At 52.8% G+C, this 25,738-nt stretch overlaps 2 protein-coding genes, 2 long non-coding RNA genes and 2 other non-coding genes across 17 annotated transcripts in view, besides 10 other annotated features; 1 reads left to right on the forward strand and 5 right to left on the reverse strand.

Annotated features, from left to right (window-relative positions):
* Positions 1-8,592, reverse strand: SPAG7 (sperm associated antigen 7). Its single transcript, NM_004890.3, has 7 exons — positions 8,495-8,592; positions 1,561-1,628; positions 1,234-1,322; positions 1,009-1,093; positions 797-886; positions 535-691; positions 1-418 (listed from the first exon to the last, which is right to left on the reverse strand). The coding sequence occupies exons 1-7, from the start codon at positions 8,577-8,579 to the stop codon at positions 309-311; spliced, it is 684 nt and encodes a 227-aa protein (NP_004881.2). The 5' UTR covers positions 8,580-8,592; the 3' UTR covers positions 1-308.
* Positions 6,281-6,958: an enhancer, noted in NCBI's record as "H3K4me1 hESC enhancer chr17:4868801-4869478 (GRCh37/hg19 assembly coordinates)". NCBI's record gives its function as "activates a minimal SCP1, AML or CMV promoter by ChIP-STARR-seq in naive and primed H9 embryonic stem cells {active_cell/tissue: H9 hESC(naive and primed)}" and the evidence as "EXISTENCE:reporter gene assay evidence [ECO:0000049][PMID:30033119]".
* On the reverse strand, positions 6,597-8,488 carry LOC124900387 (uncharacterized). Its single transcript, XR_007065587.1, has 2 exons — positions 7,176-8,488; positions 6,597-7,094 (listed from the first exon to the last, which is right to left on the reverse strand). It is a non-coding gene; the product is annotated as an uncharacterized LOC124900387 (long non-coding RNA).
* Positions 7,637-8,314: an enhancer, noted in NCBI's record as "H3K27ac hESC enhancer chr17:4870157-4870834 (GRCh37/hg19 assembly coordinates)". NCBI's record gives its function as "activates a minimal SCP1, AML or CMV promoter by ChIP-STARR-seq in primed H9 embryonic stem cells {active_cell/tissue: H9 hESC(primed)}" and the evidence as "EXISTENCE:reporter gene assay evidence [ECO:0000049][PMID:30033119]".
* Positions 8,228-8,727: an enhancer, noted in NCBI's record as "active region_11563". NCBI's record gives its function as "activates an Ori minimal core promoter by ATAC-STARR-seq in GM12878 lymphoblastoid cells {active_cell/tissue: GM12878}" and the evidence as "EXISTENCE:reporter gene assay evidence [ECO:0000049][PMID:35858748]".
* Positions 8,228-8,991: a biological region, named in NCBI's record as "H3K27ac hESC enhancer GRCh37_chr17:4870835-4871511".
* Positions 8,315-8,991: an enhancer, noted in NCBI's record as "H3K27ac hESC enhancer chr17:4870835-4871511 (GRCh37/hg19 assembly coordinates)". NCBI's record gives its function as "activates a minimal SCP1, AML or CMV promoter by ChIP-STARR-seq in primed H9 embryonic stem cells {active_cell/tissue: H9 hESC(primed)}" and the evidence as "EXISTENCE:reporter gene assay evidence [ECO:0000049][PMID:30033119]".
* Positions 8,738-8,817: a silencer, noted in NCBI's record as "silent region_8058". NCBI's record gives its function as "represses an Ori minimal core promoter by ATAC-STARR-seq in GM12878 lymphoblastoid cells {active_cell/tissue: GM12878}" and the evidence as "EXISTENCE:reporter gene assay evidence [ECO:0000049][PMID:35858748]".
* The window catches only part of CAMTA2 (calmodulin binding transcription activator 2), a 19,679-nt gene continuing 2,712 nt past the window's right edge, over positions 8,772-25,738 (reverse strand). For 2 of the 12 annotated variants that reach the window (NM_015099.4, XM_011523747.4), the window contains exons 4-23: positions 23,751-23,818; positions 23,532-23,667; positions 22,864-22,935; positions 22,453-22,606; positions 22,000-22,134; positions 20,459-21,396; positions 19,279-19,405; positions 17,833-17,967; positions 15,160-15,275; positions 14,360-14,544; positions 13,950-14,028; positions 13,544-13,766; positions 13,007-13,311; positions 11,115-11,311; positions 10,677-10,860; positions 10,405-10,476; positions 10,275-10,295; positions 9,925-10,112; positions 9,682-9,756; positions 8,772-9,594 (exon numbers count right to left, since the gene is read on the reverse strand). In NM_015099.4, coding sequence (NP_055914.2) covers positions 9,531-9,594; positions 9,682-9,756; positions 9,925-10,112; positions 10,275-10,295; positions 10,405-10,476; positions 10,677-10,860; positions 11,115-11,311; positions 13,007-13,311; positions 13,544-13,766; positions 13,950-14,028; positions 14,360-14,544; positions 15,160-15,275; positions 17,833-17,967; positions 19,279-19,405; positions 20,459-21,396; positions 22,000-22,134; positions 22,453-22,606; positions 22,864-22,935; positions 23,532-23,667; positions 23,751-23,818 — 3,474 coding nt within the window. In that variant the 3' untranslated portion in view covers positions 8,772-9,530. Of the gene's footprint in view, positions 9,595-9,681; positions 9,757-9,924; positions 10,113-10,274; positions 10,296-10,404; positions 10,477-10,676; positions 10,861-11,114; positions 11,312-13,006; positions 13,312-13,543; positions 13,767-13,949; positions 14,029-14,359; positions 14,545-15,159; positions 15,276-17,832; positions 17,968-19,278; positions 19,406-20,458; positions 21,397-21,999; positions 22,135-22,452; positions 22,607-22,863; positions 22,951-23,531; positions 23,668-23,750; positions 23,819-25,738 lie in introns of those variants that run through there. The other 10 variants (XM_006721478.5, XM_011523746.4, NM_001171166.2 and 7 more) reach the window with 8 other exon arrangements.
* Positions 8,992-9,669: an enhancer, noted in NCBI's record as "H3K27ac hESC enhancer chr17:4871512-4872189 (GRCh37/hg19 assembly coordinates)". NCBI's record gives its function as "activates a minimal SCP1, AML or CMV promoter by ChIP-STARR-seq in primed H9 embryonic stem cells {active_cell/tissue: H9 hESC(primed)}" and the evidence as "EXISTENCE:reporter gene assay evidence [ECO:0000049][PMID:30033119]".
* Positions 8,992-10,836: a biological region, named in NCBI's record as "BRD4-independent group 4 enhancer GRCh37_chr17:4872157-4873356".
* Positions 9,637-10,836: an enhancer, noted in NCBI's record as "BRD4-independent group 4 enhancer chr17:4872157-4873356 (GRCh37/hg19 assembly coordinates)". NCBI's record gives its function as "activates an origin of replication core promoter dependent on BRD2, P300/CBP, MED14 and CDK7 cofactors, and independent of BRD4, by STARR-seq in HCT116 cells {active_cell/tissue: HCT116}" and the evidence as "EXISTENCE:reporter gene assay evidence [ECO:0000049][PMID:35650434]".
* Positions 9,670-10,346: an enhancer, noted in NCBI's record as "H3K27ac-H3K4me1 hESC enhancer chr17:4872190-4872866 (GRCh37/hg19 assembly coordinates)". NCBI's record gives its function as "activates a minimal SCP1, AML or CMV promoter by ChIP-STARR-seq in primed H9 embryonic stem cells {active_cell/tissue: H9 hESC(primed)}" and the evidence as "EXISTENCE:reporter gene assay evidence [ECO:0000049][PMID:30033119]".
* Positions 10,477-10,546, reverse strand: MIR6864 (microRNA 6864). The gene has a single exon (NR_106924.1). It is a non-coding gene; the product is annotated as a microRNA 6864 (primary transcript).
* Positions 10,861-10,925, reverse strand: MIR6865 (microRNA 6865). Its single transcript, NR_106925.1, has one exon. It is a non-coding gene; the product is annotated as a microRNA 6865 (primary transcript).
* Positions 14,489-15,456, forward strand: LOC124903901 (uncharacterized). The gene is made up of 2 exons (XR_007065588.1): positions 14,489-14,577; positions 15,135-15,456. It is a non-coding gene; the product is annotated as an uncharacterized LOC124903901 (long non-coding RNA).

Raw genomic sequence — 25,738 nt, forward strand, 5'->3', positions numbered from 1 at the left:
TTGGGTTAAACAGTATTTATTGAATGTAAAGTACCCCAGCCCCATGGGGAAGAAAATTCCAAGAACGGGGAATAATACAGATTAAATACCCACCTGTGCATTCACACTCTCACACACACACACACATGCCACGCACATATCCAAGCTCCAACGGTGACAAATCAAACACCTGTTTTCCCCCAGCCTGAGGGACAGCTGGTAGGAGGTGGTTCAGAGGTGGGGCTCCAGGATGGGCTCTAATAGCAGCAGCCTTGTCTCTCCCTGCCCCCTGCCCTGCCCCAGGGGTCAAAGGGAGCTGGGCGGGGCGCCTAGGAGGTTGGCGGCAACTCTTCCCCACTCTGCCGCAGACGCTTCTTGGCTCTGATCTCATTCATAGCCTCTTCAATGGAGCGTGTGTCCCTCTTATTGGCCACGGGCACTAGGGGCAGAGAGGAGGGTAGGGCGGGCCTAGAAATCCGTACCTCAGCCTCCACTGCCCTCCTGCCGCATCCTATGCTCCTCTCCCAGCCACCCCCAGCCGCACTGTGGCCTCACCACAGCCGTAGGTCTTATTGGCCTGTAGCATGTGGGCTGCGTCTTTGGCTGCTCCCTTGCCGATGAGGTGGCTGTACTTGTCCTTGTAGTCGCTGGCAGGGCTCACCACCACAGGCCCCTGCTGGGCTGCCTCCTCCTCTTGCCTCTGGGCCAGCTCCTAGGGGTGAAAGTGGGGGCACTGGTGCTCAGGGCCCCAGCCCAAACCCCCACCCCTCCCAGGTGGTGGGCTTCTGGACCCCAAGGGCTGCAAAGCATAGCTCACCTTCAGCTTCCGCTTCTCCTCAGCCTTCTGGGGGTCCCATTCCTCTCCACGACGGTAAGAGTCTAGCTCTTCATCTGAGGGTGCAAACTCCTGAAGAAGAGCAGAATGATGGGGTCAGAGTCCATACAAATGTTTCATTTCATTCCTTGGTCGGGGAGGGGGGATAAGGCTACAAAGGGGAGAGGAGAGAATGAGGAATTCAGGCCCTTTACCTTTTTGAAGATCATGACATAGCGACAGTCATCATCTTCCCCAAAGGAGAAGGATGTCAGGCCAGCCACTTCCACCACATCATGTCTGGGATGGGATGGCAGAGGGGAAAGAGCATCTTGAGCCAGGAGCGGGCCTAGTGCCCTCCTCTGGAGGAGCCCCCCGCTGGCCCTTTCATGCCCCGCTAGCCACCCATTTCCTTCCTCCCCCAGCCCAGGGACACTCACAGTATGCTCCTCTCGATCTTGTTCATTGGCTGAAACTTTTTCTTGATCTGCCCACTGTCTTGAATGAAATCTGACACCTCCTTCTCCATCTTGGGAGAGGGGAAAGGAAGCAGATATGAGACAATGGCTCCACCCAAGTACCCCTCTCCCTAGCTGAGCCTGGGCCCTTCTACGCCTCCCCAGCACCCTCCCCAGCCTCCAAGCCACTGGCTTCCATGCGTCACCTCTCTCAAGACATTTTCAGCAAAACTGAGTCCTCAACCTTCCAATTTTAACTTATTGGAAGTCCTTCCTGAGTCTGCCTTTGATCACTCCAGTTGTTCTCACCCTTTTACGAAACTCCACTTTCTGTTGTTTCTCTTGCTCTTGTAGTTTCTTCAGGCGGGCGGCCTGTTCTGGGGGTGAGAAATGGCAACATGAAGCCAGGGCTGGAAGCATGGGTGGGAAAGGTTTCTAAGGCTTCAAGTGAAGTGTGGTGTCCACTGGGAGGTGTCAGGCTGGGAAGGTAGGATTAGCGTTTATTCATCAAGCATTTATTGATGTTTATTCTATCTAATAGTCCCCCTTATCCACAGGGGTTCATTCCAAGACCCTCAGTGGATGCCTGAAATTGTGGATAGTACTGACCCCTATACATACTATGTCTTTTTCTATACATACATGCCTATGATAAAGTTTAATTTATAAATTAGGCACAGTAAGAGATTAAGAATAATAGACCAGGCATGGTGGCTCACGCCTATATCCCAGCACTTTGGGAGGCCGAGGCAGACAGATCTCCTGGGGTCAGGAGTTCGAGACCAGCCTGGTCAACATGGTGAAACCCCATCTCTACTAAAAATACAAAAATTAGCCGGGTGTGGTGGTGGGCGCCTATAATTCCAGCTACTGGGGAGGCTGAGGCAGGAGAATCGCTTGAACCTGGGAGGCAGAGATTGCAGTGAGCTGAGATCGCGCCATTGCACTCCAGCCTGGGCAACAAGAGTGAACTCCGTCTCAAAAAAAAAAAAGAGATGGCCGGGTGCAGTGGCTCACACCTGTAATCCCAGCACTTTGGGAGGCCAAGGTGGATGGATCATGAGGTCAGAAGATCGAGACCATCCTGACTAACACGGTGAAACCCTGTCTCTACTAAAAAAAAAAAAATATACAAAAAATTAGCTGGGTGTGGTGGTGGGCGCCTGTAGTCCCCACTACTCGGGAGGCTGAGGCAGGAGAATGGCGTGAACCTGGGAGGCGGAGCTTGCAGTGAGCAGAGATGGCGCCACTGCACTCCAGCCTGGGCGACACAGCAAGACTCCATCTCAAAAAAAAAAAAAAAAAAAAGAGATTAAGAATAACAATAATACAATAGAACAATTATAACAATGTACTGAAATAAAAGTTTGTGGCTATGCTCTCTCTCTCTCTCAAAATATCTTACTGTATATAACAGTTCTGGACTGCAGGTAACTAAAACCTTGGAAAGCAAAACCTTGGATAAGGGAGAAGTAGGGACTACTGTATCTGGCACCAGGCGAGACCCTGAAGTACTGAGATTATTAAGACACAATGTGGCCCTTCAAGAGCTCCCAGTTTAGTGGGAGTGACAAAGATCAGAATAATGCTTAACCCCCTTTCCCAACTCCACTGGGGAAACCAATTAACAAATATCTATTTATTTATTTATTTTTGAGATGGAGTTTCACTCTGTCACCCAGGCTGGAGTGCAGTGGCATGAGCTCAGCTCACTGCAAACTCCGTCTCCCAGGTTCAAGCGATTCTCCTGCCTCAGCCTCCCAAGTAGCTGGGATTACAGGCATGTGCCACCACACCCGGCTAATTTTTGTATTTTTAGTAGAGATGGGGTTTCACCATGTTGGCCAGGCTGGTCTTGAACTCCTGAGCTCAAGTGATCCCCCCGCCTCACCTTCCCAAAAGTGCTGGAATTATAGGCGTGAGCCACTGCACCCGGCCTATTTATTTTTGGGACAGGATATCACTTTATTGCCTAGGCTGGCGTGCAGTGGCACAATCACAGCTCACTGCAGCCTTGACCTCCCTGGCTCAAGGGATCCTCCTACCTTAGCTTCTCAAGTAGCTGGGACCACAGGCGTGTGCCACCATGCTCAGCTACTGTTTAAAAAATAATTAAAAATATTTGTGAGATGAGGTCTCACTATGTTGCCCAGGATGGTATTTTTATTTTATTTTATTTTTATTTTTGAGACGGAGTCTCACTCTGTCACCCAGGCTGGGTGCAATTAGCACCCAGCTAATTTTTGTATTTTTATTAGAGACGGGGTTTCACTATGTTGGTCAGGTTGGTCTCGAACTCCTGACCTCGTGATCCGCCCGCCTCAGCCTCCCAAAGTGCTAGGATTACAAGTGTGGGCCCAGGCTGGTCTCGAACTCGGCTTCAAATAACCCTCCCACCTGGGCCTCTCAAATTGCTTGAAAGCCTTGAGCCTCTGCACCCAGCCTTGGCTAATTTTTTTTTTTTTAAGTTTTCTGTTAAGATGGGGTCTCAGTTTGTTGCCCATCCTGGTCTCCAGTTGGCCTCAAGTAATCCTCCCACCTTGACCTTCCAAAGTGCTGGGATTATAGGTGTGAACCACCATGCCTGGACTATAGTTAGTTCTTTGTACATTGTGGGCATTAAATAAATGTTTGGGCTGAGCGTGGTGGCTTACGTGTGTAATCCCAGTACTTTGGAAGGCCAAGGTGGGAGGACTGCTTGAGGCCAGGAGCTCCAGACCAGTGCAGGCAATATAGTGAGACCCTGTCTCTATAAAAAATAAAGAATTAGGCATGATGATGCATGCCTGTAGTCCCAGCTACTCGGGAGGCTGAGGTAGGAAGATCACTTGAGCCTGAGAGGTCTAGGTGACAGAGCAAGACCCTGTCAAAAACAAAAACAAAAACAAACCATAATGCATCTGGGAAGGTGAGGAAAACAGACTAAGACCCTGGCCTCAAAGAGTCTGTCATCTCGTTTACACAGGAAAGGGGAATTTTTTTTTTTTTTTTTTTTTTTTTGAGATGGAATCTCGCTTTGTCGCCCAGGCTGGAGTGCAGTGGCACGATCTTGGCTCACTGCAACCTCCGCCTCCTGGGTTCAAGCGATTCTTCTGCCTCAGCCTCCTGAGTAGCTGGGACTATAGGCATGTGCCACCACGCCCAGCTAATTTTTGTATTTTTAGTAGAGATGGGGTTTCACCATATTGGCCAGGCTGGTCTCGAACTCCTGACCTTGTGATCCACCTGCCTCGGCCTCCCAAAGTGCCAGGATTACAGGCTTGAGCCACCGTGCCCAGCTGGAAAGGGGAAATTATTTAACTTTCTATATTTTGTAAAATCCCCCACTTCCCACTTCTATAGACAGGATGAAGCTGAAATAGATAATCTGACACCCTTCTCCTTTGGGAGTGTAGGTGTCCAAGGTTAGCTGTGAAGGGTCTTCTTTTTCTGAACTCTTGGGCTCAAGGTATCTGCCTGCCTCTTGCCTGAAGATGCCCGAGACCCCATCTTTACAGAAAACTTTTTTTAAAAAAATTAGCCAGGTCTGGGTGCAGAGACTCAAGCTTCTCAAGCAATTTGAGAGGCCGAGGTGGGAGGATCACTTGAGGCTGGGAGTTCAAGACCAGCCTCCCAAAGTGCTGGGATTTCAGCTGTGAGTCCCCTCGCCTGGCTAAGGGTCTTATTTAACTTTCTTCCTCTTCCTTAGATCCTGCCTCTGCGCCAGATCCCCTCTGCCTCTGGAGGAGGAGGAAGAATTTCTAACCCGGGCCCTCCATGCTTGCCTGTCTTCCCCACGATGTGATTTTACTACCTCTAGAGATTTGGGTGCATGCTTCTTCCTACTCCTGCTCCTCAGCCTGAAATTTTTTTCTCTTTTGCCATTTCAAATCCTTTACATCTTTTTTTTTTTTTTTTTTTTTTGAGACGGAGTCTCGCTCTGTCGCCCAGGCTGGAGTGCAGTGGCGCAATCTCCGCTCACTGCAAGCTCCGCCTCCCGGGTTCACGCCATTCTCCTGCCTCAGCCTCCCAAGTAGCTGGGACTACAGGCGCCCGCCACCACGCCTGGAGAATTTTTTGTATTTTTAGTGGAGACAAGGTTTCACCGTTTTAGCCAGGATGGTCTTGATCTCCTGACCTCATGATCCACCCGCCTCGGCCTCCCAAAGTGCTGGGATTATAGGCGTGAGCCACCGCACCCGGCCAAATCCTTTACATCTTTAAGGCCTCCTTCTTCCCCAGGATCTGAATCCTCTCCAGCTGCACTGAACCTCTCCCCATCATTTATTTATTTATTTCGAGACAGAGTCTCGCTGTGTGCCCAGGCTGGAGTGCAGTGGCGCGATCTCGGCTCACTGCAACCTCTGCCTCCCGGGTTCCAGTGATTCTCATGCCTCAGCCTCCCGAGTAGCTGGGATTACAGGTGTGAACCACCACACCCGGCTAATTTTTTTTTTCTTTTTCTTTTTTTGAGATGGAGTTTCGCTCTCTTTGCCCAGGCTGGAGTGCAATGGTGCAATCTTGGCTCACTGCAACCTCTGCCTCCCGGGTTCAAGTGATTCTCCTGCCTCAGCCTCCCGAGTAGCTGGGATCACAGGCATGTGCCACTACACCTGGCTAATTTTTTCATTTTTAGTAGAGATGGGCTTTCTTCTCCATGTTGGTCAGGCTGGTCTCGAACTCCCGACGTCAGGTGATCCGCCCGCCTCAGCCTCCCAAAGTGTTGGGATTACAGGCGTGAGCCACCACGCCCGCCCATTTTTTTGTATTTTTCGTAGAGACGATGTTTCGCCATGTTGGCCAGCCTGGTTTTGAACTCCTGACCTCAAGTGATCTGCCCGCCTCAGCCTCCCAAAGTGCTGGGATTATAGGCATGAGCCCTCTCCCCATTTTTCAAATAACTCCATGCCTTTGCACACGTTGTTCCTCTGCTTGGAATGCTTTTCCTCCTCTTGCAAACATTGAGATCTACCGTGAGTCAGTTACTTCTTCCCCTGGGCTCCAAGCTCCTTTGGCTGAGACACCCAGCAGCATAGACAGAGAACTAACGTATCATAACTTCTTTTTTTTTTGTCTCCTTCAGCATAGTATGAGCTCCTGGAGGGCAGGGACCCTGTTGATCTACTGTTCAGTTATCCTCTGGAGCCCCAGGGCCTGACAGCTTATGAGCTCTCATCCCTCTGTCCTCACTGACCATCAGCGCATTTCATCTTTTGTTGTTGGAAACAGTCTCAACTTCATCGCCCAAAATGGAGTGCAGTGGCGCAATCACCTCTCACTGCAGCTTCAACCTCCCAGACTCAAGCGATTCTCCCACCTCAGCCTCCCGAGAATTGGGACCATAGGAGCGCGCCACCAAGCCCAGCTAATGTTTATTTATTTATTTATTTATTTATCTATTTATTTATTTATTTATGAGACGGAGTCTCGCTCTGTCGCCAGGCTGGAGTACAGTGGCGCAATCTCGGCTCACTGCAACCTCCTCCTCCTGGGTTCAACTGATTCTCCTGCCCCAGCCTCCTGAGTAGCTGGGACTACAGGCACGCGCCACCACGCCCAGCTAATTTTCGTATTTTTAGTAGAGACGGGGTTTCACCATGTTGGCCAGGATGCTCTCGATCTCTTGATCTCGTGATCTGCCCGCCTTGGCCTCCCAAAGTTTTGGGATTACAGGCGTGAGCCCGGCCAATTTTTGTATTTTTTGTAGAGATGGGGTTTCTCCATGTTGCCCAGACTGGTCTTGAACTCCTGGGCTCAAGCGATCCGTCCGCCGCGGCCTCCCAAAGTGGTGGTATTAAAGGTGTGAGCTACAAGGCCGGGCCCCACTGACTGTTCTTTAACTGGTTTTCGAGTCTTCTCTGCATCTAGAGAAGTGGCACAAGATTATGGTCAAGAACATAGGCTTCGAGCCCAGTCATACCTGGGTTTGAAACCCTGCCACTTACCAAACTAACCATGTGACCTCAGGCGAGTGACTCATTTAAGCTTCCCAGTCTGTCAATGCCGGGTGATCCCCCACTTAGACAGTCATCGGAGCATTAGAGAATTCCAGTTCCCCATTCCCATCATGCTTCCTCCTTTCTCAGAGATTTCAAATAGACTCTTCTGCCTGTAACGCTTTGCTTCTCTCTCTCATTTACGGAATTACCTGTTCTGATCTCGGCTCACTGCAGATTGGGGGAGAACCTCAGGTGGCCGCTCTCACAGTTATTTTTCTCTCAGAGCACTTATCAAGTTGGTTATTAAACTTACGTGTGATCACTGCATCAATGAGCGCCCCAGCCCCGGACTGTGGCCTCCCTGAGGGGTACCCCTGGTCCCTAACGGTTGTTCAAGAAACAAGGGGACGAAGCGTAGGCAACCAGCGGCCCTTGAATACTTGGAAGGCGTCCTGCCTGCTCTGGTCCCCCTGGGGCACGTGGGGAGCTGGGACAGGGCTCGTCCGTGGTCAAGGTCCGCAGGTTTGGGAGTTGGGGTCCTGCGTTCCGCCAGTATCATCCCAAGCTGCAACACGAGCAGCCCCGGGGAGGCTCCCACCGCCCTGCAGGGCCGCGCCCTACGCCGGCCGCCGAACTCCAGCCCACCCGCAGGGAAGCTACTCCGAGAACGCAGGCGGAGACAGTGGCCAATCGGACCCGGCGGGTATTCTCATCCCTCCAATCAACACTACGATCCGCCCGGGCAGCTCGGGAATTTAAGGCTACGGATGGGAAAAAGGTTGTCGGAGGGAGGCAGAAGGGACTGGGTTAAATTAAGCAGGAGGGGCAAGAACACACAGAGGACCCTGCAACCAATGGGAATTCGCAGGCTGGGGTGGTTTCGAAGGAAGGTCGAACAGGCCTGAGGAGGCAGAGCTTTAAGTTGAGATAGCCAATAGAGATGAAGGCACAGTAGATGGCGTGTCCTAAATCCAATCGAAATAGAGCTAGAGGTGAGCGGGGCAGGAATGCGGCAGGTTGGAGGCACCCTACCAATCAGACCAGGTCAGCAGCGGACAGGCGGGACGGCCGGCTAATGGGAAACAAGGACTGCGGAAGGCCAGGGTCGGGAGAAGAGGCAGGAGGCTGGCGCTATCTTTCAGGTAGCCAATCACTGTCCGCTAAGAACAGCGGGCGTGTCAGCAGCCCTTTTAGGGACTCTGAGGGTCTCGGAAGGGGCCTGTGAGGGGTCTTTCAAGGTTGAGGAGGCGGCATCGTCCAAAGAGGGAGAAGTATGGTCCCGAGAACCGGGCGAAGGAAGGCGGTTGTGAATTTGGGATCCTCACCTCGGGCCTTGCGCCGAGTCTCCTGGTCACCGAGGCTGGGTGGCTTCTCCATGGAGCTCAGGATGGAGCCCAGTAGGTCCGCCATCTTGGGAGTGACTGAGAGGGGGCGGTGCGTCTTAAAGGGAAGGGCGGAATGCCTTTAAGGCCGGAAACACGTCGGAGGCGGAAAACCCTGGGCCCGCCTGGCCTGGGCGCAGATCCCAGGCCCGCGGTGCATGGCGGCCTCCAGCTGGCCTAGGCCCCGCCCCGCCCCCGCAGACAGAGGCCGGAGGCTGGCTGGTGCAGCGATGTTTAATGGCAATTCGTATAAACCAAGCCCATGCACAAGTAGAAAGTGCCCGTGGAGCCGGCAGGAGGCCCCCGCCGCGCTAGAGAACCACAAGCCCGGCCGTGCAGCCCTCCCCGCGGCGCCTTAAATAGATTCTTCACTATACTCTGTATGTTACAGTATGTACAAGACCCCTCCCCTCGGGGGACGGGGCGGACTCCGCAACGCGTTCCTATGTACACCACCTCCCCTTCGGCCCTGAGGTCAGTGGCCAGAGTCGGGTGATGGGGTAAGACAGGGCCAGAGAGGGAGGAAACAGACGCAAACATGCGGAGTCGGGTGGGGACACGGTCAGCCCTGAAACACGAGGGGCGTGCGCAGCGAAGGCAGTGGTGGGAACCGAGGCGGATACATTCAGAGACGCGTCGAACAAATAAATAAGGCAAGTCAGGAGGGGGCCGAGTCGGGTGCAGGCAGGAGGAGCTGGGGAGCAGGGGCAGGCAGGGCTCCGGAGGTCACAGCGGAAGATGCAGGTATGTGGGGCGCGGGTTTTCTGGAGCCAGGACCAAAAGAGACGGGGCACGACCAGGAGGGACGAGGAGAGGGGTGTGGGAGCAAGGCGTGGGGAGGAGGGAGGAGGCCTACAGAGGGCTCCAACAAAGGTGAACAGGAAAGCTGCCGACAGGGGCTCCCCCTGCCCCAGAAAGCCCTCTCCCTGTTAAGACTGCACGAGGCGCCCCCAGGGTGGTGAGAAAGGCGGTGGCCAGGTCATGTGGCCAGTCCCGGCTGGGGAAGCCCTTCCAGCTCCTGGTTCTGCTTCAGTTCCCTCATCCTGCAGAGAGAAAGATAGGAGTCAGAGGAGACTGGCGGATCACGACGGGTGGCAACGCAAAAGCCCAGGGGGAGAAGGGATGAGTACCTGTGTCGGCAGCGCCGCAGGAATCTCATGATCTTCCGGGCTGCCTGGTCCTGCTTCTTGGTGAGAAAGGAGCCTCTGGTGAAAGAAACAAAAGATGGACCTCACAGAAGGCATCGCATGCCTTCGGCCCCCCCAGGAACCCTAGGCAGGGAATGGCAGTGAGGCATGATGATCAAGAGGATGAGTAAGGGGGAATGGCGTGGATGCAGTGGGTGGGCACAGAGGGCTGGGGCTGGGCCCTACTTGTTGCGGGCAGGCAGGGTGGCCGAAGTCCGGTGGGGAGGGCCGGGCCTGCGGCGGTAGGAGCGGTAGTGCTGCTGGATGAGCACAGCCGCTCGGCGGCTCTGCTGAAATCGCTTCTGTTCATAGTAGCTTCGGAACTTGCTCTGGATCAGGATGGCCGCCTGGGTCATCTTCTTATAGAGTGCAAACTGCAGGGGTGGGGAGGAGGGACAGGGGCTGAAATAGAGGGACGGAGACCCAAAGCCCTGAGGCTCACCCAAGTTAGGCTGATGCAAGACTCTCTGTAACCCACACACTCAAGGAAAGACTGAATCATCACAGACCTCACACTCAGAGCTCATGCCTAATACCTTAAGTGCAATCCAGGTCAGCTTGTGGAGAGAGAAGGGGAGTTAGGGCTCTGGCAACATTCTGGAATGGTTAGGCGTGGGTGTGGGTTGGTGGGTTGCTGGTTACACTTTTGAGGGAGAAGGGTCTCACCTGCTTGTACTTCCGGTAACAGCGCTGGATTACAGCTGCTGCTACCTCCTGCTGCTCCTTCAGCCGCCGGCCCTGAAGGGAGAGAAGTCTCACCACCTCATGACCCACATAATGGCATATCTGACTTGTCCCTTCAACTTTCCTGGGGTTCCCCTGACCCTTTACCCCATCCAAGGCCTGTCTGCACGACTACTCATCCTCCAAAAGCCCTGGGAGCCCAGTCTCCCCTGACTGGAGATTGTGTAATTCATCCTGAGACCCCTGCCCCTGACCTTGTACTTTCGGAAGGCCGTCTGGATGACTCGGGCAGCCTCATACAGTTCCCGCTGCTCGTGATCTGATAGTGTCAGCAGGGCAAAATCACTTTCCATCTTGCCACTGGTGGATGCAGAGAGAAACTCTGCCCAGGAGGGTGCTGAAGGGACAGCCAGGCGACCTCGCTCAAAGGGCAGTTCGCTGTAGGCGGTAGGGAAAGAGGGTGTCATGAAGCATCTGAAGTCCCTCCTCTGCCACCTATGGATGGCTACGAAGGAAAACCACCAGCAACTGAGTCTGGAGAGTGACTTCAGAGTTCATCAGCCAGTTCAGTTCGCTTCTCCAAGGCCCTGGGGCCTCAGCCAGAATGGAGCTTTGGCTGTGGGAAAGCCAGCTTTCTCCCTTCCTCCCATCTTCCTTTGAAGAATCTGGAGGCTTTGTCCTGAGCTAGTCACCTGGGAGGGGTTGAGCTGGGGAAATGGTCCACATTCTCCAGGTAGCTGGCCAGCCAGGACATGGTCTCACTGAGCCCCACAGCCCCTGTCCGCTCCCGCATTGAGGCTCCAGCCTCGGGCAGCCCCACGAAGTCCTCTCGTTTAATCCGCTCCGGTGTGGCTTCGATGATCTGCTTGGCTAGTGAGATCATGTCCACCTGGAAGAAGGGAGAAGCTGAGTGAGTCCTTAGGGGCCCCAGCTGCCAGCTGTAACCTCAGTCCATTCCTATCTTGTTCCTTCTCTCCCTGCCAGGTGCTGCTAACCCTGTCTTTCTGGGCCACTGTTCCAGACTCATTCATTTATACTGATGGGGCTCCCACTTGGGGGTCCCTCTGTGCTGAGATGCTATGGAGAATATAGGATAAAAAGGAGATACTCCAAGTGGGGATTCAAAGCTGAACAAATGGAGGACTTGACACCCTTTCAGGCCAACCATCCACTGTCCTACCTGGGCCTGCCCCATGCCAGCTGACCAGCACATGCTCCCCATAGGCTTGGCTGTGCCCACCCCCAGCTCCCTTTCAACTCTCCAAGAACCATTCCAACACTTGCCAACTACTACCCGGATGAATGGCTCCAGTCTGGCCTTTGCTCCAGCCCTGAAGCCTATACTCCAGCACTTCCTGCTGGACACACTCAACACAACCTACTTGTGGAGTTCCCTAAGTTTTTTGTACTTAAAGTGCCACCCACTTACTCCATTAGTCTCTCTAAAGCAGGTATGTCCCCAGTCTCTATCAGAGAAGTACAAGGCTATACTTGAAGATTCACTTTCATTCCACAAGACTTTCTTAGCTTTATCATGTGCAAGCCTCCTTCCTGCATCAGATCACTGCCAAATACCCTCATCTTGCCAGCCTTACCTCTCCACACAACTCCCAGCTGCCCTCCGTCATCTTGGTTCTCCTAGAACCTTGTCCCTACATAGATCAACGGTTAACTCCTACAAACCAGCTCTAACTGAAGATATTCCCTAGAATTTTTGTTATAGAGACAGGGTCTCTTGTCCAGGCTGGAATGCAATGGCACAGTCAGCTCACTGCAACCTCATATTCCTGGGCTCAAGGGGTTCTCCTACCTCAGCCTCCCAAGTAGCTACAACTACAGGTGTGTGCCACCATGCCTATTTTTAAAAAATTATTTTGTGTAGAGATGGGGTCTTGTTATGTTGGCCAGACTGGTCTCAAGCCCCTGTTCTCAAGTGATCCTCCCACCTCGTTCTCTGAAAGTGATGGGATTACAGGGGTGAGCCACCGCACCCAGCCAGAATATTTTTTAATGCTTTTTATATTTTAAATCTTACTATTTTGTCTTTTTTTTTTTTTTTTTGAGACAGTCTCAGTCTGTCACCCAGGCTGGAGTGCAGTGGTGCAGTCTCGGCTCACTGCAGCCTGTGCCTCCTGGGTTCAAGTGATTCTTGTGTCTCAGCCTCTCAAACAGCTGGGATTACAGGCACATACCACAGTGCCCAGTTAATTTTTGTATTTCTTGTAGAGAGGGGGTTTCGCCATGTTGCCCAGGCTGGTCTCAAACTCCTGGCCTGAAGTGATCCACCCGCCCTGGCCACCCAAAGTGCTGGGATTACAGGCGTAAGCCACCAAGCCCGGCCAAATTTTTTTTTTCCAACATCTGTATTGTGGGACCAGCCAGAATTTTCAACCTCCGCTGCCTCATGACTTCCAAGTCACATGGTCTAAAAGGAGCTAAGCAAAAGGCTACCTTGCCTGTCCCAAAATGAAGTAAATAGGCCCTTCCTAAACTGAAGCCAGACTTTGATTCTGCTTCATGGAAGTCGGCCTCACCCTTCCTACTCCACTTCTAGCCCCCATAACTCCATCAATATAAGCAGTACCGGGATCACATCCACAGCCTGTGGGCTGTCAGCGTCCTCTGGAGCAGCCCCATCATCTGAAGCTGGTGGGAGGGCAGGAAGGGAGGAGAGGGGCCCCTTGGAGTTGGTAGCCTCATAGTCCATGAGGAGTAGGGGGGCTTCTGGGACACCAGAGGAAAGCTGGCCTGGGGCCATGTCCTCCATAGTCATCTCAGAGGCTGGCAGAGGTGCAGGGGGGGGACTGCCATCTGGGGCACTAGAATAGGCTGACGTGACGGAAAAGGTGCCATCCGACAGCTCCGAGGGCGAGGAGACGCTGCTCAGACCTGTGTGGGGAGGGAAGAGAGTGAGGGCAGCCGGAGCCACGGCCATCCCTCGCTCAAGTCTCCTGCCTTCCCCATCCTGTTCTCGGTCCCCGTCTGTTCTTGCTTCTGTTATCTCCCATCCCTGCCTCTGTGGTTTGTCTCCTCTCTTACTCGTTTCCCACACCCTTTGGCTTTGTCCTGGCCTATCCTCCTACCTACATCCCTCTCTCCAAAAGATTAGGGCCACCCTCACCAGTGTCTGGGCTGGAGGAGGGTGGCGATAGGGCAAATGGGGGCTCCACCGAAGGCTCCTGTCTCTGTAGTTCCTCAAGGCAGCGGGCAAGGCGCACATGACCCCGGGAATGAGCCACAGACAATGGCAGACGGCCCAGAGAGTCGGGAATGCTCAGTGCCTGTCGGTTCCAACGGAAAAGGAGCACAGCAGCTTCCAGGTGTCCCAGGGCACAAGCCCACATCTGAGGAAGGGGGCGGGACAGGCGGAGACGGAGGTGGAGGTGAGGCCAGGGGCTCTTCCTCCAGGTAGTCAGGTCTTCAGGCCCCAGCCCACCCCACTCCCTGCATTCCTCAGGATCTTCCTTTTCAAGGGCTGTTCCCATTGCTCCCTGCCCCATATGCGCTCAGGAATCCGTCATCCTCACCAGAGGGGTGCAAGAGAAATGATCCACGTTGAGCGGGTCAACCTCCTGCTCTAAGTCCAAGCTTCCAGTCTCCACACTCCTGGAGGGTTTGGGAGAGAGACAGCAGAGCCCAATGAGGGAAAAAGTGGGCAAAGCAGGAACATCAGAAGTAAAGGCACTAGGAGGCAAGCTGTACAGGGCCGGTGGGAAGAGGCAGTCAAGGACACTAGCTTAAGGAGGTCAAGAAGTCAAAGTGTTGTAAGTCAGGATATGAAAGTTCCCCAAAATATAAGTCCTCTCCCAACCCCCTCCCTTCCCACAATGACCCCAACTCCCTCTTGGTAGGGCCCCAGGTCCTCCAATTCCTCTTCAGTCCCCTGACACTTCTGTCCCAGAGGCTGCCCAGCCCTCACCCAGCTGCCCTTGCTCACCGCCACTGGCTCAGGGTCTCGATGAGGCGGGCATAGCCCTGGGCAGCAGCCAGGTGCAGAAGGCTCATGCCCCGGAAGGGGCTTCCATGGGCCAGACGTTCAGGACCCTTCCAGGTGGAGCGTGGGATCATGCTTTCTACCAAGACCACTACCCGTGCTTCGAACCCAGGCCCCTGGCCTTCATCCTGCGATATACACACTCTTAGGCAGAGACCCAGGTATCTACTCCCCTGGCTTGAGGTGGCCTTGGCCACCTCACATCTGTCCTCCCAGCTTCTAATTTTGCCCCCTCCCCACATGTCCCACTCTAGGATCCCATCAGTTGAAGTTCCTCTGTGGCCTGTGTCTCTTGCTCCCACAGCCACTTCCTCCAGCAGCCAGACCTCACACAATCTTGCCCATGTGCCTTCCCATCAGCTCAGATTAGTGCCATGTTCACACATGGCTTCTCCCCCTCAGAAGCCAGAGCCTTCTCTGAGCCTTAGCCCTCTTCTTTCAGAAACTTGGGACCCACAGAGATCTGAGCCCCAGTGCTCCTGACCCCTCCCCCGCCCTCTCCTTCACCTCCACCCTTCTTCAGACCAGAAATAGTCTGAAGCCCGTCATGCCAAGAGGGTGCCCAGAATAGCCACTCTTGCCACAAGGTGGGGATGGGAACAGGGTGACGTCAGGGAGAGGGAAGACAGGCTGAGGAGGCTGGGGACAGGAGAGGGAGGAGAGTCATGGGCACTAGATGTTTTCTTTAGCTGTGTCCTCCCCCTGCTCCCCACCGTAGACCACCTCCCTCCTCACAGAAGTACCTGAACTGGAGGAGCATCAGGACCCTGGCAAGGCACCTGCCCAGCTGCTGCGATCTCTGCCATCCGCTTCTCCATCTGCTCCAGTCGCTCTAGTATGGACATCCGGAACTGGTTGTCTGAGGGGGAACGGGTATGGGAGGCTGAGTGGGCAGTCTAGGTGATGCCCTGAACACCAAAAGTAGACCTGTCCCAAGATCTGGGGATGAGGACACAGAACCATATTCTTTTATCTTCCCCAAAACAACAGCTCCTTTACCCCTTCACCTAAATAAAGCCCACCAGGACTCAGTCCTTAAACTAGGGCTGTTAATACTACCCACTGATCTAGAACCCAGATCTGGAACCAAAACTGTTTCCTTCAAGGTACAGAGGTAGTAGGATTCCCAAATGGTCATCCAGCCTCCAGATGTCCCAAATCCCACCCGTACACACTCTTCCCCCCAGCCTTTTCCTAGGCAAAATGTTCTGTCAATTTTTGCAGCAGACACTACCTTTGTCCCCCATGGTGAAGGTGAAGGATTCCAGGGTCCCTCCCTTTTAATAACCACTGCCCCAAAAAGCTCAGGGACTGTGATTTGAAAAGTACCTCCCCTTCCTCCCAGCCCCCCGCAGCTGTCCACAAAGACGATGGTGGGGGACGGAAGGTGACAGAGATGGATAGCCATATAGCCATGTCCATTTCTCCTCCTCCTCCTCCCCGCCCCATATACAAATACGCACGTACACACATATCCCCCCAAGCTATATCTGTCCCCTCCTGAGATCAAACAAGGACAAGAAGGGGAGGCAGGAGGGGATCAGAGCTGTAGGAAAACAGACACAAACGGTGAAGGTTGGAGATGTTCTGAGATGCCAGGATAGAAGGGGATGAAGGTACACAGGTGATAGGAGGACAGAGAATGATGAACAGAAACCCAAGGAAAACAAAGGGAGGAGAGAGAGCAAAAAAGATAAAGTGAAGGAGAGGAGAGAAAGGACAAAGGAGGGCTGGGGGAAAAGTGCCAAACAAGCAGTAAGAAAGGACGATAAAAGACAGGCAAGTTAAGATATTGGTTCAAGAAGAAATGGAAAGAAGAGGGATGGAAGAGACTCATAGGAGAGACGGTAAAACGTAGATTAGACAGGGACAGAGAAATAAGGTGATGAACAGTCACAGGGCAGGACAGAGACAGAACAGGACTGAGAGGCCTGGCCAGATCCCAAGGTAGGCAGACTCAAGTCAGAGACAAGCAACCCAACACACTCGGGCTTTGTGTGGGGTCCAGCTCCAAGAGTGAGGCGAAACTAAGGACCAGAGCTCCGGAGAGAGAGAAGTAAGGACAGAGGGAGACTAAGATAACACAGATGGCAGCAGAACTGAGAGAAGCCAAGAGGCAACAACAAAGACACCAAGAGGAAGAGATAGAGAAAAGCTAACCTTGAGAAAGCAGAAAGCAGCAGGTGCAGACAGAAACAATGTTCAAGGCCACAAGAGAGAGAACCAGTAACAGGAACAAAAACTCCCAGATTTAAATAAATAAATACACACACACATAGATACACGTATGTATGTGCCTCTATGTTTGTGTTAGTACACCATGTTATTAGCAATGGATATCACTGAGAAGTAGTAGTATAGGAAATTTTTTTCTTTTTTTTTGAGACGGAGTCTCGCTCTGTCGCCCAGGCTGGAGTGCAGTGGCACAATCTTGGCTCATTGCAACTTCCGCCTCTCGGGTTCAAGCAATTCTCCTGTCTCAGCCTCCTGAGTAGCTGGGACTACAGGCACCCACCACCACGCCTGGCTAATTTTTGTATTTTTAGTGGAGACAGGGTTTCACCATATTTGCCAGGCTGGTCTCAAACTCCTGACCTCAGGTGATCCACCCGCCTTGGCCTCCCAAAGTGCTGGGATTAGAAGCACGAGCCACCGCGCCCAGCCAGAAATTTTTATTTTCTATTTTGTGCTTTTGTGTAATTTCCAAATTTCTGTTAATGAACACGTCTTTATATCAGAAAAGGAAAAACAATAGAAATTTAAATATATAAGTACAGCCGGGTGTGGTGGCTCACGCCTGTAATCCCAACACTTTGGTAGACCAAGGCGGGGTGGATTGCTTGAGGTCAGGAGTTTGAGACCAGCCTGGCCAACATGGCGAAACCTCATCTCTACTAAAATCACAAAAAATTAGCCAGGCTTGGTGGCAGGCACCTGTAATCCCAGCTACTTGGGAGGCTGAGGCAGGAGGATTGCTTGAACCCAGGAGGTGGAGGTTGCAGTGACCTGAGATCGCGCCACTGCAGTTCAGCCTGGGAGACAGAGCAAGACTCCGTCTCAAAAAAGAAGAGAAAAATAAATAATAAATAAGTACATAAACTTGTGCATAGCACCTATATATTGCTCTAGACCCTGTCCCTGCCCTGCCTCTTAGCCTTCCTTGTCTAGATTCCACCCTTTGGGATGGAGAAGGCAGGTCAAGAACTGGTATAAAAATGACCCCAAGATTTATGGGGAAGAGGAGGTAAGGGAAGTTTGCTGCCACATTTAGAAATCACTAATGAAATAGGAATTGAAAAAAAAAAATGGTAAAGTGGGGGCTCAGTGATGGCCACCTGAACCCTGAGTGGTCTAGGAGCATGTCATGCTTAAAGGCTGTGGGCTGGATACTTGGGTTCAGAGGGCTGGGTACTCACCGTCCAGTGACAGCCAGTCAAGTTGAGTACTAGGCAGAGACAGGAATCGGCGGGCTCGATACTCAAAGAGCACAGAAGCAGAAAGGGGCCCCTCCCGCCCTGCCACCTGCAAAGACACCAGCCCTACCTCATGGGCTGGAGAGGGTAGGATCAGCGAGAAGGGCTCTCTTTCCCTGGCTCCTTCTCTGGCTACCTGTGTCAGCCACAGACAATTATTCCATAGTTATTTCCCCTACTGCCCTGCTGTGGGCCAAGAGGCCCCTGGCTTCAGTGGCCTTGGCACTAACTGGGAAGGGAGTCCATTTGTTTGAGAACTTAATACGTACTATGGGCCAGAGATCCCTTGGATTCTAGACCCTGTAGTTGAAGATATTTGTTATTCAGCAAGAAGGTTTGGAAACTGAGGGTCAAGAGACTAGTTATGAACAATTTGATGTTGGAAAATCCTCTTGATCCCCGGATCAGAGTCTGGAAGTTATGACCCTGTTACTGAGATGGAGGAAAGGGGAGCTAGCCGCTCATGAACAGTGTCCAGTGGCCATAAGCATGGAACCAGCAGGCCCTGATCCTAAGACCAGGTGCTGAGACTTTTTCTCCCAGTCCCCAGATTCTCTGGTCTCATCCCCTTTCCTTACACACATGCTGGATGCTGCTGTAGAGACTGGGGGAGAACACACTCGTAGACAGCAAAGCTGCCAACCTGTCACTTTGGTGGTCCTTGAGGTCCCCTAGTAAGGCTGATTTTTGAGTGTAGGGTAAGGGCAAAGCTGGTGGCAAAAGGGCAGAGATGAACCTTGGCAATGAAGTCTAGACCAGTGCTGTCCAATAGAACATTTCTGCAGTGACAAGAATGTTCTATATCGTCACTATCCAATAGGGTAACACGAGCCATGTGTGGCTACTGAACACTTGAAACATGGTCAGTGAGACTGGGGAAGTGAATTTTAAGTATTCTTTAACTTTAATTAATAGGCACATGTGGCTAATGGCTACCATACTGGACAGCACAGTTCTAAAAGCCAATGTCCTTCAGTCCCAAGACTGGTTAGAGGAAACCCACATTTCTTCTTTCTCATTCCCCCTGGATTGGAGTTGGAGACTCTGGCTCTAAGCCAGAAAGCCTGGACAGACATTAGAAATCCCTTTGGTCAATGCCTAACCTTACAGGAGAGGAGGCCAAGGACCTCAGGAAGGATCAGACTCATCTGAGGTCACTGGTTAGCTAAGGAGTAGACTTCTTGGACCAGAACCTCGATCTTCTGACACCTAAGTCTGGGCTCTTCTGCCTGCTGGGAGAGCTTGGGGCTCAACCTCAGGACTGGATGAAGTCCTTGTGCTCTCAAAACAACCCATTTGTTCCCAGTGCTTTCTGGAAGCCTGGAGGTCCTGATCTGTCCTAACTGCCCACATGTCAGTCCCTCCCCCTACGGTTCCCAATCCTCATACCGGGACAGTAGCAGCGTAAGACACCAGGCTGGACAAGTGAGGCTGGCACTGCGATGTGATCAAAGACACAGGAGTAATGCTCGGCGGCTTCGGTCCAAGGACCTGTGATGAGCACCTTGACCCCACCCTGCAGACAGAAGTCAGAGACCATGTGACTGGAGTTGGGCGTTCATCCCCTCACTCATTCATTTATTCAGACCCTTACAGGGTATCTACTATATGGCAGGTCCTGTGCTAGAGTCTGGGGGTCCAGGGATAGACAGGACCCAGTGGGGTGAGGTCAGTGAGTCTATCTCTCCCCAACATTCCTGCCAAGTGGTTGCCTGGTCTCTACCTGAATCTGCCAGTAGCTGGGAATTCAGGGCCTCCCCCAAAGCTACCACAGAGCTGTCACCAGAAGGAAGTTCTGTTCTTGGGCTAATTCACCCCCACTGTACTTCCTCCTTTTCCTCTCAAAGGCAGCATAAAACAGAACTTCTCCACTGCTGAAGACAGTCTTTCAGCTACTCAAAGTCTGCAATCACATCCCTGATGTTTCTTTTCTTCTCCAGGCTGCACAGCCCCAATTCCCTACCCCTGAAAACAGTCAGGAAGGGAATGAGGTCCTAGGAGACTCCAGAAACCATGCTAACACATGGAAGGGAGAGGAACAGAAAAAAGGTTAAGTTGCTGAGGACTCTGGAAACAGGAAAGCAGCTTCACTCTACATAAAAAAAGAGATTGGCGGCTGGGCACGGTGGCTCACACCTGTAATCCCAGCACTTTGGGAGGCCGAGGCAGGCAATCACCTGAGGTCAGAAGTTTGAGACCATCCTGGCCAACATGGTGAAACCCCATCTCTACTAAAAATACAAAAATTAGCCGGGCGTGGTGGCGGTCACCTGTAATCCCAGCTACTCAGGAGGCTGAGGCAGGAGAATCGTTTGAACCCGGGAGGCGGAGGTTGCAGTGAGCCAAGATTGTGCCATTGCACTCCAGCCTGGGCAACAAGAGCGAAACTGTCTCAAAAAAAAAAAAAAAAAAAAAGAGAGAGATTAGGTAGAGGACTAAGAAGCCTAAGAAGCCATGAAAACTGAGGGAAACTAGGTCACAGACCACGGGGTAAGAGTTAATACAATTTGTTTTGGGGAGTCAGAAGACAAATAGGAGGGAGGAGGGAGGAGGTAAGCCTGAGTCTCACCTCTGGGTAGGACCACTCTGGGGAGAAGTCTGTGATGGTGCTAAGAGCAGGAGACAGCTGGGGGGTCGGAGCAGGGATGCTTGGAGCTTCGTCACTGATGAGTTCTCCCATAAGGTCTGGGAATGATGAAAGACTGAAGGGCTCCAGTTCACTGGCCCCAACAGGTCCTCCAAACAAGGCCTCTCCTCTTCCTACCCTGCTTGACGGCTCCAAGGGGGCAGGTGAGGGTGGGGGTGAGGGAGGGGGTGAAGGTATGGGTGGGGCAGCCCCGTGACCCTTGAGCTCCTCCCCACTGTCATCATCTTGGATGAAGAAGCAGTTTCCTCTTCTCCCACCTGCTACTGACTGTGGTGGGGGACCCCGAGCAGCTGCCTGGGGCTCCAGGGCAGCAGCAGGCTCTAGGGCAGAACAGGGGGTATGAGCGGCCTCTGCCTCGGGGAAGTCTGGGCTTACTCCCTGCCCCCCTCCATATGTCTGGCCCCTCTGGGGGCTGTTGAGAAAACGATCAGGGTCAAAGGCAGGACTGGGAGGAGCTGGTGGGGCAGAAGGCTCAGTGCCTACAACCACTGCCAAACTCATGGAAGGCCTAGGATCAGCCTGTGGAGCCAAGTGCCTGGTGGGCGTCAAGCCTCCAGCCCGCTGCTCCAGTCCTGTCAGGAGGAGGATAGCAGTGCCTCCTCTTGAAGAACCCCCTCGAGAAGTGGGAGGGCTAGGTCTGATTTCTAGGGGCTCTGCAAAACCTGATGAGGAGGAAGAAGAGGAAGAAGATGGGGAGGTGTGTGCCTTGGGGAGCTCTGGGGGAAGTGGGGCTATCAGTGGAGGAGGCTCTGGGGGGTGAGCGTGGGGGATAGAGGTCAGGGTTAAAGCTCGGGGCTCCACTTTGGGAGAGATGATGCGGTGTTTCGTGCTGCTGCATTTGTGGGTAAGGCTCCCAGAACCTGGAGTGGAGAGGAGTAGGAGGGAGAGGAGATAAGACACATCATTCCGCACCTTCTCTACCTTGAGGCCCTTAAAAGTATTTCCTGGGACGTCCCTATAAACCAGAGGTGTAATACTGATTGTAGCCACTGGGAGGCATCAGAAATGTCTGTTCTCTACCCCTACCCTTTATTCCCCCTCCCCCTCTCCATTTCCCCTCAAAACAAGCAGGACCAGAGGAACGCTCCAGAGAACTGAGGGCTTGGGAGAGTAGCTAAAAGCAAAAGTTAAAGGCATAGGAAAAGGACAAAAGAACAGAACCAAGGGGGTGCCAACTAGGAGGAAGGCTAAGGCTGGGTGTCACTGGTGGTGCTGAGGGGACAGGAATTGCTGAAGGTAGAAGACAGGAAGGGCAGAGGCTGCCATGACAGCTGAGTGCAAGGCTGATTCCGAGCCAGTGTGCACCCAGATGGGAACGTCTGTTCATCTGGCCCATCTTTCTGGGACATGCAAAAGACTTGCAAATCAGCATGCAAATCCCATCAAGATGGATATCCCCCTGGCTTGCGTAAGAGCAGTGTGGCTAGGTGGGAAGACAGCCAAAAGGTCAGGGAGTAACTTACCAAGCCCCCCACTGCAGAGACAGGCGTGGGTTCGGGGAGCAGGCTTGGTTGGGTGGGTGTCCAAAATCTGCTGCACCAGGTGTTCTACAGAGAACTCTTCTGTTCCATTCCCGCAGCTCCACTTGATGCCATGAACTAGAGAAGTTAGGGGGAAGTGCTGTGGGATCCCCACGAAACAGGCCCCAGAGTACCTTGATGGCTCCTCCAAGCACCTGACATGCTTCAAGACTTCTGGCCAGGTGAACAGAGGCCAGCAGCCTCAAGACTGCTCAGATATGTTGCTTTAGTCCTTTCTCCGTATTCTAATACCTGAGAACACACCGGGAATCCTAGCACCCTCCCAGCTTGGAGGGAGATGATCAGCCCTCAGGCTTTGGGTCCAGAACCATGGCCCCTCTGGGAGCCCTGTTTCTACTCTCCCCTTGGAGCTCTATCCCCACCCTGCTGCCTTACACATGGGCTTCAGCTGTCCCAACAACTCCTCCCGGGACCACTTCAGCCACTCTCGACGGTCGCTGCTGATGGAACAAAAGATGGGGCTGCAGCCCTTTCCACAGTCCTCCAGGGCTGGGACGTTCAGGTAGTGCACAAGGACGATGTCAGGGTTCTGAGAGTATAAGGGGACACACAGAGCCATGGGGTCCTGAGGTCCAGGGGCTTGGCTTCCTAATCCTCACTTTCTTCCTGGGCACCCTCCTAACCTCGCCCCCAATTTCTGACTCTCTCCATCCCCAAGCCCCTTTCTCTTCTTCCCAGGCTCCTTTCCTCACTCAGAACTCAGCCATCCTTTCACTTCCTTCTTTCAGACCCGTGTCCCTCAAAGAGTCAGGAAGAGGGTGGCTCCCTGGGCTCTTCCGTCCTTACCTGGAGCAGCCAGTAGCAGCGCCGATGGAATGTGGGGACGATGGAAGAGTGAACGTAGCAGCCATAGAGACACTGCCAGGAGACAGGCTGGGGTGGGGGGAGGGCTAGTCTGCTCCCCAACTCTTCCTCTGTTCAGTCCCTTTGCAGGAATCCCAATCTTTCCACCAGTTCCTCTTCAACCCTTCCCCCACCCTCGCCCCCACCTATTCCCCACCCCTTTTGAATCCCAGCCACCCTGAGTCATAGATGAGCAGTGGGGCTGGGGCCTTATAGTGAGGACCAGATTTGAGATACGGGACTATCTAGAAACCAGAGGGCAGAGCAAGAATGCATCTGAGATGAGGGGCAATGATTTGGGGAAGAGAAACCTGTGCTGAGAGCATCATTGCTGGGATCCCTGAGGGAAACACAAGAGCAGTGAGGGGCCTGGGCATCAGTGTTCTGGAAGGGAGGCATGGCCTACGGCCTGGATAGTTGAGTCACGGAGGGAAATGGGAAGTGGAGAGTGGCCAAAGCAATGTCAGCCGACCCAAAGTGAGTGAGAAGGGAAGAGTAACTGGGAGGGGACTGAGGTGGACAATGCCACCAAGCCCAGGTCGGGCTAGAGCCCAGCTAAGGGTGGAGGAGGGCAGGCTCGGGAAGATGAGCTGAATATCTGACTCTCTTACCTCCATGCCCTGGACCTTCAGCTTCATGTGGTCCTCTCGGGTGGTCTTCCCATCCTTCCGCTTCTTCCAGAGGTAACCATCCTTCCGATATTTCACCTTCTTGCGATTGTAGAGGATGATGGAGCCATTCTGAGGCCTGGGAAGGGAAGGGTTGCCCTGGAGTTCTGTGAACAGAACCCAGGACCCCTGCCACTCCCCCATGTTCTCAAACTTTCTCACCTTGTCTTTGGGGCACAAGACAGCCACTCATCATGCTTCTCAAAGGTGATCAGGTAGGATGCAATCTCCTGTAGGAGAGGAGGCACTCAGCTGGGCATCTCCTTCACAGAGAGTCTCAGCCTGGCCTCTTGGTCATCCTGTCAGTGTCTCACTCTCTGCTGAGTTCTGGCAGCTAGTGGAGGATGCTTCTAGGTATCTGGACCCAGCAAGACCCACTGCCCTCCTAAGAACCCTTCTTTTGTCCTAAGACAAAAGTCTAACATTTTTTTGTGAATTATTTTACTCTCCAAAAATCTCATTCCTGTGCCCCTTTTTTTTTCTTTTGAGATGGAGTTTCACTCTTGTTGCCCAGGCTGGAGTGCAATGGCGCGATCTCAGCTCACTGCAACCTCTGCCTCCCGGGTTCAAGCAATTCTCCTGCCTCAGCCTCCCGGGTAGCTGGGATTACAGGCATGCGCCACCATGCCCGGGTAATTTTGTATTTTTTTTAGTAGAGACAGGATTTCACCATGTTGGTAAGGCTGGTCTCGAACTCCTGACCTCAGGTGATCCACCCGCCTTGGCCTCCCAAAGTGCTGGGATTACAGGCGTGAGCCACCGTGCCCAGACTTTTTTTTTTTTCTTTTGAGGCAGAATCTTACTCTGTCACCCAGGCTGGAGTGCAATGGCATGATCTCAGCTCACTGCAACCTCCGCCCCCCAGGATCAAGCAATTCTCTTACCTCAGCCTCCAGAGTAGCTGCGATTACAGGCACTTGCCACCGTGCCCAGCTAATTTTTGTATTTTTAGTAGAAACGGGGTTTCACCATGTTGGCCATGCTGGTCTTGAACTCCTGACCTCTGGTGATCCGCCTACCTCAGCCTCTCAAAGTGCTGGGATTACAGGCATGAGCCACCACTCCTGGCCTCTGTGCCCCTTCCTGACTCAAAAAATTTCAGTGGTTTGACACTGCCAGGAATTTCAGATTATTTATTTATTTATTTATTTTTTTGAGACAGAGTCTCGCTCTGTCACCCAGGCTGGAGTGCAGTGGCGCCATCTCGGCTCACTGCAAGCTCTTCCTCCTGGGTTCATGCCATTCTCCTGCCTCAGCCTCCTGAGTAGCTGGGACTACAGGCGCCCACGACCACGCCCGGCTAATTTTTTGTATTTTTAGTAGAGACGGGGTTTCACTGTGTTAGCTAGGATGGTCTTGATCTCCCGACCTCGTGATCCACCCGCCTCAGCCTCCCAAAGTGCTGGGATTACAGGCGTGAGCCACTGTGCCTGGCAGGAGTTTCAGATTCTTTAGCCTGACTCCAAGGTTCTTCCCAACAAGGGATCAAACTTTCACTGTTCCCACTATTTACCCATATTGCTCCTACAATTCCTGCCAGATGGATCCATTGATTCCTTCCTGAACATGCTTTGAATAGTTACCTCCTGCATGTTAGTGCCCTACAAGGCAGGTACCATGTGCACACCTCTCCATATCTGGAAATCATAGCCATTCTATAAACCAAACCCCTTTTCAGATGCTCCATGAAGCCCTGCTGACCACACTGGACCTTCCTAAACGCTCTATAGCACTTACAACAATCACACATACACACATACACGCATCGTTTTACTGACAGTCCTCTTCTGACATCAAATTGATAAATATCAACAACCAACTACATACAAGGCAGTAAGTATGCAGAATACAGAAAATGTGTAACACAAGGACTGTGCCTCCTCCAGAAAGAGCCAGTATCAGTGGTGGTTAATAACAAAGGTTCCAGCCGGGCGTGGTGGCTCATGCCTGTAATCCTAGCACTGTAGGAGGCCGAGATGGGCGGATCACTAGGTCTAGAGTTCGAGACCAGCCTGGCCAACATAGTGAAACCCCATCTCTACTAAAAATACAAAAATTAGCCAGGTGTGGTGGCGTGCCTGTAGTCCCAGCTACTCCGGAGGCTGAGGCAGGAGAATGGCGTAAACCTGGGAGGCAGAGCTTGCAGTGAG

The sequence above is a fragment of the Homo sapiens genome, chromosome 17 (genome assembly GCF_000001405.40).
Source record: "Homo sapiens chromosome 17, GRCh38.p14 Primary Assembly".
Classification (NCBI taxonomy): domain Eukaryota; kingdom Metazoa; phylum Chordata; class Mammalia; order Primates; family Hominidae; genus Homo; species Homo sapiens.

Coding starts and splice junctions, on each gene's coding strand:
- SPAG7 (NM_004890.3), bottom strand. CDS start 8,579: ATGGCGGACCTACTGGGCTCCATCCTGAGCTCCATGGAGAAGCCACCC. Junction 887..1,008: donor ATGTCATGATCTTCAAAAAG/GTAAAGGGCCTG, acceptor GCTCTTCTTCAG/GAGTTTGCACCCTCAGATGA. Junction 419..534: donor CAATAAGACCTACGGCTGTG/GTGAGGCCACAG, acceptor CTCTGCCCCTAG/TGCCCGTGGCCAATAAGAGG.